The following is a 12,841-nucleotide window of genomic DNA, read 5'->3' as shown; positions in this document are numbered from 1 at the left end:
AGGCAAAAGAACTCGGAGTGCCAAAGCTAAATAAGTTAGCTGAGAAAACGCACGCAGTTTGCAGCGCCTGCGCCGGGTGCGCCAACTACGCAAAGACCAAGCGGGCTCCGCGCGGACCGGCCGCGGGGCTAGGGACCCGGCTTTGGCCTTCAGGCTCCCTAGCAGCGGGGAAAAGGAATTGCTGCCCGGAGTTTCTGCGGAGGTGGAGGGAGATCAGGAAACGGCTTCTTCCTCACTTCGCCGCCTGGTGAGTGTCGGGGAGATTGGCAAACGCCTAGGAAAGGACTGGGGAAAATAGCCCTGGGAAAGTGGAGAAGGTGATCAGGAGGCCGGTCCACTACGGCAGTTTATCTGTCTGATCAGAGCCAGACGCGACGCGTCCACTTCGCAGTTCTTTCCAGGTGTGGGGACCGCAGGACAGACGGCCGATCCCGCCGCCCTCCGTACCAGCACTCCCAGGAGAGTCAGCCTCGCTCCCCAACGTCGAGGGCGCTCTGGCCACGAAAAGTTCCTGTCCACTGTGATTCTCAATTCCTTGCTTGGTTTTTTTCTCCAGAGAACTTTTGGGTGGAGATATTAACTTTTTTCTTTTTTTTTTCCTTGGTGGAAGCTGCTCTAGGGAGGGGGGAGGAGGAGGAGAAAGTGAAATGTGCTGGAGAAGAGCGAGCCCTCCTTGTTCTTCCGGAGTCCCATCCATTAAGCCATCACTTCTGGAAGATTAAAGTTGTCGGACATGGTGACAGCTGAGAGGAGAGGAGGATTTCTTGCCAGGTGGAGAGTCTTCACCGTCTGTTGGGTGCATGTGTGCGCCCGCAGCGGCGCGGGGCGCGTGGTTCTCCGCGTGGAGTCTCACCTGGGACCTGAGTGAATGGCTCCCAGGGGCTGTGCGGGGCATCCGCCTCCGCCTTCTCCACAGGCCTGTGTCTGTCCTGGAAAGATGCTAGCAATGGGGGCGCTGGCAGGATTCTGGATCCTCTGCCTCCTCACTTATGGTTACCTGTCCTGGGGCCAGGCCTTAGAAGAGGAGGAAGAAGGGGCCTTACTAGCTCAAGCTGGAGAGAAACTAGAGCCCAGCACAACTTCCACCTCCCAGCCCCATCTCATTTTCATCCTAGCGGATGATCAGGGATTTAGAGATGTGGGTTACCACGGATCTGAGATTAAAACACCTACTCTTGACAAGCTCGCTGCCGAAGGAGTTAAACTGGAGAACTACTATGTCCAGCCTATTTGCACACCATCCAGGAGTCAGTTTATTACTGGAAAGTAAGTGTTCCTACTTCTTATATTTATTCCTTGGAGAAATCTTAAGCATTTAATGAAGATCCAGCTCCAAATTTAAGGGAGTAACAGAAAGTATGGGGAACAACTGAATGAATGAAGAATGAATGAATGATGTATGGTATTGGGGTACCGTGTTAAAATGGATACAATGTTAATGATCTTAATTTTCTAGTCACTAGTGTAGTCTAGTTTTCCTTTTTACAGAGCCAATTATAAGTTTCTAAATGAGATGAGAACGTATAAATACCCACAAACCAGAGATTTCCAGAAATGGTCTCCTGTTTCAAATCTATTCTACTTTTGAGCATGCTCAGATTTTGTTTCAGATGTCATACTAGAATTCACACTCACCATCACTGATAAGAAAGATCAAAAATTTTTTTTACTCTTGGTGCATTCTTAAATCTAGAATTATCAGAGAAAATGAACCAACGAAACAGATATAGAGTAATGTAAAATATGACCAGTTTATGTATGACTCTGCTTCGGTCTTTGATGGGTCATTTTCTCTTATGAGACCCCCTAATGAAGGCCATATTTAATTAGCAAAGCAGTTCTCAAAATGCAAGGAAATACAATGGTAAGTGCTCAAGAGGAGTCAAACTTCATCTGCAGTTTTCTGTTGCTCTTCACAGGTCTGGAATTTTCTGACTAACCAACAGAAATCAGACTATTTGGATGCTTAAGTAAAGTGCTTTTCATATTGTTGCTGCTTTGCTAAGTAGCTAAATCTTCTACTTAAATTGTTCAAACATTTTCATATTTTTACTCTATCCTATCAGAACACAGGCTACTGTAATTGATTTGGATGTACAAATTCAGCCTGTGGAACGAAGATAAACTAGGAAGGGCAGGGGTTAAGCTGGACAGAGGTAGAAGAAAATCCTTAGCCATTTCAATCTATGTCTTGTGATTTCAGTTGCAGGACAGGGAACCCTTGCTTCTGTGAAGTTGTTCTTGGAATTGGATCCTATAAAAGTAGCCAGTATCCATTGGAAAAATAAAGACTATTTTGTAAGAATCTCTGTCTCGCAGAGACTTTTGCTTACAGCATGATTTCCACTGCTTAGCAAACTGTCAGAACTTAGCATCATTGCCAGAAAAGAAAAAAATTATTGTCCTTCCCTCTCCTGAGAATGAGAAAAGTCTCACTGTACTTCAGGGTCATTTTAAAGGTTAACTGTGGCATCAGAAAATCAAGGGTATTTGATATTTATAAAGGAGTAGATTATTGGCTGGAAAATAACTAGTCCATCTGGTGGCCTAGAGGTCAAGTTCTTCATGTCTGATTCCAAACACCCTTATATATGGCTCATGAAATAAATGTCTCACAAAGCCTCACTGGACCTCTTCAACTAACTTATAGAATTTAGATTTACACAGATAGCCAACTGTGGTTGAAAATAAGTAACTGAACTATATGAATTTATTTTTCACAATAAAGCATATGTTCAAGGCTTTTCACCAAACAAGAAAATTTGTTCTTAAACATTATCTTGCACTGAAACAATATGTAGGTTTTATCTTTTAACCATTATGTTTACTTAATAAAATGAAAGAGAAACTAAGCTGGAAATATTTCCTAATTTTTCTCTTTGGTGAAAGATTAACGTCTCTGTAATTTCAATGCAATCAAACATCTGATGAGATTTCTTTTCTCATTAAAAATTTTTATTTAGTGCAACAGGTTGTATAACTTTTATAGACAAAAAGTACAAATAGCTACTGTGATTTGATTTAAATTTCTATTTGAATTAAACATTTGAATACTTTTTCACTTGCAATTTCTCCTTTTAGACAAATTGCTGGAACCTTCATTTAAATGAACACAGATGTAAGAAATAAAGCAGTTATGGAAGCCCAGTTCTGGACTCATTATTAACCCATTTATGCCTGAGGTTGCAATGTTTTGAATTTTTGCAATCAGCCCCTGGCAATGATCTTGGGCAGTAGTATATAAATTACTCCCACATGCTTAGAATTCCAATAATGGAACACTAGGCATAAATGAGTTAATAATGCAGGTCCCAGAGAATATGGTCATTTGTTCTCTCTATGAACACATGTCTATGCCTTGTGGATCTTCTAAATTAAAAAAGGAAGCCATAAAAAAAAACTGAAATGAACTAAACTATTTTAAGGGAAATAAAATGGGTTATGTGAAGTGTGACATGATTCAAATATCTTCACATGACAAAGAGTTTACATAATTGAAGCTGAAGTTACTTTTGATTCTATTAACAAAACAGCCCTCCCTTTATATTTTTCTGGAGTCAAAAATTAAAAATCCATTTTCTTTTACTACACGAATCTGTAACAAATTGCAGATTCCCTTAATAATTTACATCATACTAGTCTGGCAATATTGATTATCAGTCAGCCTGTCAATAAGCGTTCATGTGTACAGACCCCTGCATTGGAGCCATGAAGAAGAAACAAGAAGTGAGCCCTAATCTCTGGATAGTAGTTCTCAAGTTGTAGTGTGCAAAAAGAATCAGTCCAAATGCTAGTTAAAATGCAGATTTCAGGGCCCTTCAGCTTTGGTAGGTCCGGGGTTGAGTCTAGAAATCAATAGTGATTTAATGAGCATGTCAGGTTATTGTGATGATGACATCATCAAAAATAAATTAAGACTGTTAGTATTAAATGTTAGCGTCTGCTGAGCAGTCACTGTGTTCTGGGGTAATGAATTTTATATGCATTGTCTCATTTAATCCTTGCAACAACTTTAGATAGTTGCTCTTGTCATGCCCATTTTATATTGATGTGGCAACAGATTCTAAGAGGGGTAGTGATGTAGGGATTCTATGCACTGGGCTTTGAGAAACAGCATTCTAGGTGTTCACAGTTGTCCTGATGAGATAAAAGGTTGATTGGGAAAGTGACTGCCTGTGTTTGATTTATTTCAAAGTAATTTACTCACTTCTTTTTTTACAGTTTTGCAAATAAAGATATGGATTAAAAATATCATTTTTTTCTTAAAAGAGAATATAGTGAAGGCTTCATAAAGTGAATTATAAGTTTTGCAAAACCTAGACATGTTTTATGCAGACTTTAGAGGAGGAAAGGTTGACAATCTGAATTGAATTTGTATCTTTGATAGTAATTTTGTGTTTTTACTATTTTGTTACTCATTTATCCCACTTGAAATACCATGATGATCACTGTTAACAAATGTGAAGGAAACTCAAATAATGTTTATTTCTAATAGGATATTTGATAAATTCACTGTGCTTAAAACAACCCCCTACCCAACTGGTATCCCTCACCATGGATAATCACTCTCCCAGTTTCTCATACCTTAAATTAATTTTGCCTGGTTTTGAACTTTATACAAATGGAATTACAGAGAGGGTACTCTTCTATGTCTGGTTTCTTTTAGCATTATGTTTGTAAAATTTTTCCATGTTGTTGCCTGTACATACTCACTATCATTGAATAGTATTCCTTTGCATAAGCATATTACAATTTATTTACCCATTCTACTGTTAATAGACATTTGGGTTGTTTTCATAGTTGGGTTATTATAAACAGTGCTACCATAAAAATACTTGTATATGTTTTTTGTGAACATAGGTTATGCATTTCTCTTAGATATCTATCAAGAAGTGGAAATCCTGGGTTAAAGGGATGTCTGTGTTCAGTTTTGGTAGATACTGCTCAAGTTTCCCAAAGTGATTCTACCAGTTTGTACTCTCACCAGTAACTGTATGGAATGTTCTACTTGTTTCACATCTTTGTCAACATTTAGTATTATCTTTTTTCATTTTAGCCACTCTGGTCATTATGCACTGCTACATCATTATGGTTTAAATTTGCATTTTCCTGACAACTAATAAAGTTGAGCATCTTTTCACATTTTTATGGACCCATTTTATATCCCCTTTAAAGAAGTATTTATTCAAGTATTTTGCCTAATTTCTCTTTAGATGATTGTTTCTGCCTTATTAATTTGTGGTAGTTATATATTCTATTCCTTTGTTAGATATTTGTATTGCAAGTCTCTTTTCCCCTACTGTGGCTTGCTTCTTCACTCTCCTCAACAGTGTTTTGGTTTTTTAGTGTATGTTTTTTAGTGGTTTTGGTGTGTTTGGTTTTTTTTAGCGATTTTTCATTTTTTTTATTAACGGGAGGTTTTAATTTTCTTGTAATCCATGTTATAATCTTTTTCTTTTTATGTCCTATTTAAGAGATTCTCCCTACCCCAAGATCATGACCATGGTCTTTTATCCCTAAGAGTTTTATTGTTTTGTTTTTGTATTTAGATTACGATTCATCTGAAATTAGTTTTTAGTATGGTGTAAATGAGAGTTCAAGATTATTTTTTCCATGTGTATACCCATTTGACCCACACTGTTTATTAAAAAGACCATACCGTCTCCATTGCACTGCAGCATCACCTTTTCATAAATCAGATGAATGCACATGTTTGATCTGTTTCTGCACTTTTCCATTCCAATTCTCATTGTTTTCGCTATCGATTTGTTGTGTCAATGCTATGTTCTCTTAACTACTATAGGTTTATAATAAATATTAATATCTTGAATGTAAAACCTCCTGCTTGTTCTTCAAAATTGCCTTGGATATTTTTTACCAGTTCATTAATTTTCCTAGGAAAGAAGAGAGAGTATAGATGTACAGATGCAAATAGCTTGGAAGATTTGGTTTTGGGACTCTGAAGTAATTCTCTTCTGAATTATCCTACAGGTAATTAGCTGAGAAGGAAGATCTGAAGGTTTAACGAGAGAGGGCGAGAGATACAAAATATCTGCTAGGAGAGTAAGAAAGTGAATTGGGTAAAGAAATGCAGTAAAAATACTGGGATGTAACGAGAGCCCACTTGAGATTTGTGGTCATAAATTTTAACAGACACCAGGCATTTTTTGTTTGTTTTTCTCCCACCCTGCTTGGTGCTTGTGTGCAGAAGTACAGTTGAAGAGGTGGAATTAACTAGTTTTTGAGATTTGCCAAATAATTAGCATGGTGGATCATGGACCCTTTGCAAAGAAAGGGGGAATACTATGGGGGCTTATGTTCTCTTAAAAAGTGCTGAGGTCAATAAATTAACTGTCTGGATGTCATTGAAATGAGAACACCATAGTAAACTTGGAAAGTTGAAAACATAGATAATAGTGATTGGGAAAGTATATGCAGGGGATCAAAATTTAGTTATGTAGTACAGGTTTTGAAAATTATATGGTAATGAGTGCTAAGGTCAGATGGGGTAAAACATCTTTGGAAGTAAGGAAGGCAAAGTATTTCAAGGACAGAGTGTTGAATAATCACTCCCATGGATATCCATTGAGAAATCACTGAGAATAAAAAGAGAAATAGTAGCAAAGACGACAGCGAGCCAGTGCTGGGATCATCTGTGAATGAGGGATCAGGTTCCGGAAAGGCCTGAAATTGGATGAAGGACTCTAACAGCAAAGATAATGAGTCTATTGTCTGTTGCCTTACTTTTCAAAGGCATTGAGCTTTTAAAGGGAGACAAGAGCCAAAATTGTCTAGAAGTGCCAGTGAGAAACTAAGAGAGCACCCATACCTGCTCCAGGCTCTGTGAATATTGGGATGTGAGTAAAAGCCCGGCCCCAACTTGAAAATATGGCAGGGACAGCCAGCAATTAATTACAGCAAAAAGGTACAGGGGCTGTCCAGGGAAGAGATGAAGTTAAAGAGGATTTTGCTTTGAGACCAGACTGCACAACATAGTGAGACCCTGTGTCTAAAAATTAAAAATAATTAGCTGTGTGTGGTGGCATGCACCTGTAGTCCCAGATACTAGGGAGGCTGAGGTGGGAGGATCCCTTGAGCACAGGAATTTGAGGCTGCAAAGAGTTATGATTGGGCCACCGCACTCTAGCCTGGGTAACAGAGCAAGACCCCATCTCTTAGAAAACAAAAGTTTTAAGGAGGATTTTGCTAAATAACAGTGGGCATATTGGAAAGGGTTAGGGAGTTGGGATGGGGAAAGGACTGAGTGAGAGTAGAGGAGGGACATAGACATATAGATATTAGAATCTGAATGAAAGCAAATATATTGGAAAGTTTGAAATTTTGGTAAAGACTTAAATAAATAGGGATGAAAATCATGGTGGGGTTTTTTTTTTTGTTTTTTTTTTTTTCCAGATCATCTCTTAGAAAGTAATGAGTTTCTGGTTTTAATTATAGCCTCTTCCTGGAATTGCCTCAGCTGGGCCTTGTCAGCTATAGCCACACTGTACAGTCAGGCACTCAGTCGGGAGCTCTGGTGGCCTAGTTTGGTCTAGGAAGATAGAATCCAGATAGGCCTCCTCTGTGGATGGTAGTGGCCTGTCAAGGCAGGGGAACGTGTCTTCCAGTTTACAAAATACTACAAATATTTTAGATATTAAATTTTCAAGTTATAATTGTCCTAGTGTTGGAAACCCTGAAAAGGTAACTGAATTCTTTCAGCCACTCTGATAGGAGAAGGAGTCAAGTAAGCTTAGGGCAATAGAGTTTGATTATTTCATTTGATAGGCATGTGTGTACACACACACTCATTTCCCATCAGCTTATTGTAAACATCATGGTCATGCATGCTTCCTCTTCCATCCACTTCTTTCATTCAAGGCCTAGTTTTAAGCAGCATGTTACATCCAGACAAGACTCAATAAATATAAATTACATTAGTTATATGAGTTCAGTCATTACTTTCATATATATTTAGTTGATACTTAAACATTTAGAAAAATGTACATGTTTACTGTTAGAAGTTCAGGAAAAACAAGAGTTTTCTTCAAGCCTTACTTTGACTCTGGAAAATGGATATAACAAGTGGAGAGGGTGGCTTTGACACCTCACACATCCATTTCAAAAAGAATGGCTCAATAGTCAAACCATTTGACAAAGAGCTGCCAATTCCTATTTGACCATATGGGCTTTCTGATAGTAGAATTATGGTCAAATAAACTATTGGCACACTCTTAAGCTCAAAGTCCATAATTTTAAAGAGTCTTTAAAAAAAGCCATTGAAGTGAATTCCTATTTAGATAATTCTATTGAGTTTCCGAAATAGCTGTTCTTAAAGGTGGAAATTATCCAGGCGCAGAAGGCTGACGATGTCTTGTGTCATCCAAATGACAACTCTTAGAAATCAAAGATAGGAGAACCAAAAGACCTAGGGCCCCTGCCTTTAATATGAGCTCAGTATAAAAGTCTTTTTATTTCAAAGTTTGGTTTCATTCAGTTTTTTCTTATAGCAATATTCTAAAATTAATTTTGATTTCATCTTTTTTGTAAGACTTTACCTTGATATAATTAGAGTTTGTTTCAGTGTTCTTTTATAATTCTAGTTATATTCCCAGTGGTGTTACCTCATTGAGGCATTTTTTTCCATGCCCTATTGTAAAAAAAATAATAAAAATAAAAGACTTTCTGCTTCTCATCTTTTAATCTCTCTCTTCTATTTTATTTTTTATTTTTATTTTTTTACTGTTTTTTGAGATAGGGTCCTGCTGTGTCGCCCAGGCTGGAGTGCAGCGGCATAATCATGGCTCACTGCAGCCTCAACCTCCCAGGCTCAAGTCATCCTCCTGCTTCAGCCTCCCAAGTACCTAGGACTACAGGTGTGCACCATCATGCCAGGCTAATTTTTGCGTTTTTTGTAGAGACAGGGTTTTGCCATGTTGTCCAAGCTGGTCTCTAACTCCTGGGCTTAAGTGATCCACCCACCTCGCCCTCCCAAAGTGCTGGAACTATAGGAATGAGCCACCTTGCCCAGCCCCTCTCTCCTCTAATTTACCCAACACATTTGCTTTACTAAAACAGACTCTCATGACATCACCATCCTCAGCGAACACCCTCCCAGGTCCCCCACTGGCTACCAAAGAATAGGAAAAGAAATAATTTTATGCTGAAGGCCTTCTTGTGCCATTTGTTTTTCAGACATCCTGTTATTTGATCTTCACATTCACGCTGAAGGTAAAATTATTTTTATTTGAAAAATATTTCTAAAATATTTCACAAATGTCCACATTTTATGGATGGCATATGAAAATTTTAGAGAAATTATATAAATTGGTTATGGTCACACAGCTTCTTAAGCAGCAGAGCTATTTAAACCTAAACTTATGTGACTTAATTATTTTTCATCACCCCATTCTGCCTCCTATGAAAATTATAAACACCTCAGTCCAGTCTTTAAACAATATTTTTAGCCAGATCTTTCTCCTTCTACCTTCAAACTCTACTCCAGGGAAATGGATGATTCACAGTTTCTCAAGAACATCTCAATTTCCTCTCTTCTTTGGCTCATTCTGTTTTCACTCCTTGGAATGTACACCCTATCTCTCTTTGCCCAAATGCCAACCACTCATTAAAACTCACCTAAAATACCACTTTGCTTATACAGCTTTCCATGATTCCTTAGCCAGAAATGATTTATCTCAACGATGAGCTTTCTTACTCCTTTCTGTAACTGTCTCATTAGGCATGATTTTCCACTCCTTCACAGCTATTACTGAACCTCTTCCTTCCCTTGCTGGTCCCCTAAGCAGCAAAGCTGATTTATAATCTCCATAAATCTCACAGCACCCAATCCAGTGCTTTGTGCTAATAGGCACTAAGTAAATGTGTGAAGAATGAATGAATGGATGAATAGATGAATAAATGATTATTTATTTCCCCCTGGCAGGCAATGTGATTGAGAAGAAATAGCATATAATTTATAGTAAGGAAATCTGAATTACAGTACAGTGCTGATTCAACAAATTACTGACTTTGACCTTGAATACATTTTTTGATATTTCTGAGATGCATTGTTTTCATCTATAGAATCATAGTAATGTTATTATTGACTTACCAATCTTAAAAGTTATTCTACTCATCAATTGACATAACATATGTGAAAGTACTTTGAGAATTTTACATATTATGTAATTTTAAAGTAAACATTATTTTAAATTTATAGTTATGTCTTCGCAATATTAATCATATAAAAACCTTACAAGAAGTGGCTTTTATTCTTTTTAAAGCTTTCTGTAAGTATAGTCATAGCTCTCATCCAATTTTAATCTGTTGATTAAAAAAAGGGTTAAAATTAAACCCCATGTGTTTTAATTTTAATATATTTTATCTGGCATGGTGTTCTGCATGATATTGTTAGTTCTGAGATGTCCAAAAAGGTGACTGGGGTGTATTTTTTAAGGTCTCTGCACTTGCAAACTGTTTTAGTTGTTGTTGGTTGTCATGTTTGGCAGAATCTATTGGAACCCTGCTAAGCCTGTGACAAGTGAGAGGAAATGTGTATTTAAACAGTGATGTTAAAAGTATAACACTAAATGAGAAATTGGAAATAGGGTAATGGAAAGGCCAGTGATTAATTACTTCAAATTCCTTCAATCAAAAATCTCAAGACATGTTATTGAATATTATTAATATATCTTATCCAGCTTTGAATTCCAACTCACCCCTGGGGCTACAACTTAGAAGGTACATAATAGTTTTGAATTAATATATTGTTTTAGGGTTCATAGGTATTGAGACATCTGTGCTCTATTATCACTATTTCAATAACCTCCTAAATGATTATATTGCTTACAGGTTCTGAATCCACCTCTACAATAAGACCTGAGTAAAATTCCTACAATAGTCGAAATCATGACACTTCCCTGCTTAAAATTTTTAGAAGTTTCCACTACTTGGAGACTAAAGCATAATTCCTAAGCATTCCATATAAGGGCCTTCAAAATCTGGCCTCTGCCAAAGTTCTGTTGCAATCTCCCAACAATTTTCCATTTATACCTTCTTTGGATTATCACTGCCAGAGTACTTGTACTTTCCCACTAGGCCCGCATCCTCATTTTCCTGTTTCCTTCTAAGCAGGGCTTCCTTTGGTAGAGTGTTCTTCATTCATCTCTGGGAAGACATCATTGCATCTTTCTAGACTCTCTACCACCCTCATCTCCTCACCAATGCTTTTCTGGTCATTTTCTCACCCCACCTCAGGCAGAGTCAAGTGCATTCTGCTCTGTTCCTACCGTCTTTTCTGCATACTTCTGTTTCAGTTTTTATACTTACTTACTTCTTTCCTCTTAATCCCTGAGTGTACAAGAATACACTAAATTATAAACTTCATATAGTCTAATTAAAAAATACATAAATATTATATGTATATACATATCTCTCATATATTTATCACAGTGATTAAAAGCAAAGAACTTATGTGACATCAGCCATATAACTTAAACTATCTATCCTTCAGTTTTTTCATGGGAAAATGGGGATGATCATTATAGTACCTCATGGGGTTATTATGAGGATTAAGTAGAATTGTGTACCTAAAGCGTTTAGAACAGAGCCTGCCACATAGAAACCCATATAACCTTGATAATCTTGGTTACCTCCAGGCTGGGAAACTTTAACTTAGCCCATAAATAGTTAATGAATGTTTGCTGATAAGCAGACTCTCAATAAACATTTATGCAATAATTAAACCAAGTGAAAAGCTCTGAAGGAGAAAATATTCAAAAACTATGTTAAGTGTTTTATGACTGACATATTGAAAATGTCAGAATGACATTTTATATTCATTATGAATTTTAGGAGCTTTCAAATTTTTCATCTGTTAGTACAATAGCTTAAAATTTAAGAGGAATGTTTTGATTTAAAAATTGTTAACATCATATTACCATTGCTCATCAACTGAAATATGATGCCATATTTGATAGAGTTGGATGAACATAGATATTTAGATTGGTAGCAACCTTTAGTAATTGTTCAAGCATAATTTTAAATTATATCATATTCAGAGAAAGCAGTTATTTTAAATGGAAGTTATTTGAGAAGCAGGAGGCATAGGATTGTACACCTATGTCTAACCCCAGCTCCACACTTCAAGTGAAACCTTAGGTTACTTAAAGCCTGTAGATCTCCTCATCAAATGAGAGTAGTAGGAACTTAAAAGACCATTCTTTCTTATCTTATTAAATAAGACCATAGGGGCAAAAATACATAGAGCATTACCTGGCATATAATAAATGCTCAATACATTCTAAGTTTTAGATTTAACTGAATTTTCAGGGAATTTATTTTGAATAGAAAGAGAAGAGTATTTCCAAAGTCTCAACTACTCCTATAAATTTTGTTCCAAATGGGCATATGTAGAATCCATATCAGAAATGACAGCATACTTATGAACCTTTTAGGTTTACCTTGTGTAAGCTTTACACACTTTTTCTTGGGTGTAATAAGATGTGGCAGCCAACAAAGAGTGATAGAATTTTTAGAGCTCAAAGAGATGTTGAAAATTATCTTTCTCAAAATCTTCATTTTATAACAATGAATTCTCTCTCCACTGACTGAATATAATCCATAATAAAATTTCTCTATCCTATCACCCACACCAAACCTACCAACCAACTGAGCCTCGTAGGGAGACATGCCAGAAAATAATCACTAGGTCATTGTCCCCTTCCTGAGGAGATACCATGATATGCTTTTCTTGAAACTTGGTTGTTCTCAAGCTTGGTAGAGAGGGTAAGGACCAGCCATAGATGAGAAAGAGGATGTGGTAACTGACTGGACCCTGTCAGAG

The 12,841-nt window shown here is 37.1% G+C and overlaps 1 protein-coding gene across 8 annotated transcripts in view; it reads left to right on the top strand.

Annotated features, from left to right (window-relative positions):
• Positions 1–55: 55 nt before the first annotated feature.
• Positions 56–12,841, top strand: part of ARSJ (arylsulfatase family member J) — a 79,364-nt gene continuing 66,578 nt past the window's right edge. For 2 of the 8 annotated variants that reach the window (XM_047416157.1, XM_047416155.1), the window contains exons 1-4: positions 56–247; positions 5,899–5,991; positions 8,756–8,873; positions 9,193–9,228. Coding sequence is in view for 4 of the 8 variants with exons in the window: in XM_047416154.1 (XP_047272110.1) it covers positions 869–1,266 (398 nt within the window). In the remaining 4 variants the exon portion in view is untranslated. Of the gene's footprint in view, positions 1,267–5,898; positions 5,992–8,755; positions 8,874–9,192; positions 9,229–12,841 lie in introns of all 8 variants that reach the window. The other 6 variants (XM_047416154.1, XM_017008592.3, NM_001354210.2 and 3 more) reach the window with 4 other exon arrangements.

Source organism: Homo sapiens, chromosome 4, assembly GCF_000001405.40.
Source record: "Homo sapiens chromosome 4, GRCh38.p14 Primary Assembly".
NCBI lineage: Eukaryota > Metazoa > Chordata > Mammalia > Primates > Hominidae > Homo > Homo sapiens.
Note: the sequence above shows the minus strand (reverse complement) of the source record. Positions and strands in the feature narration are given on the sequence as shown.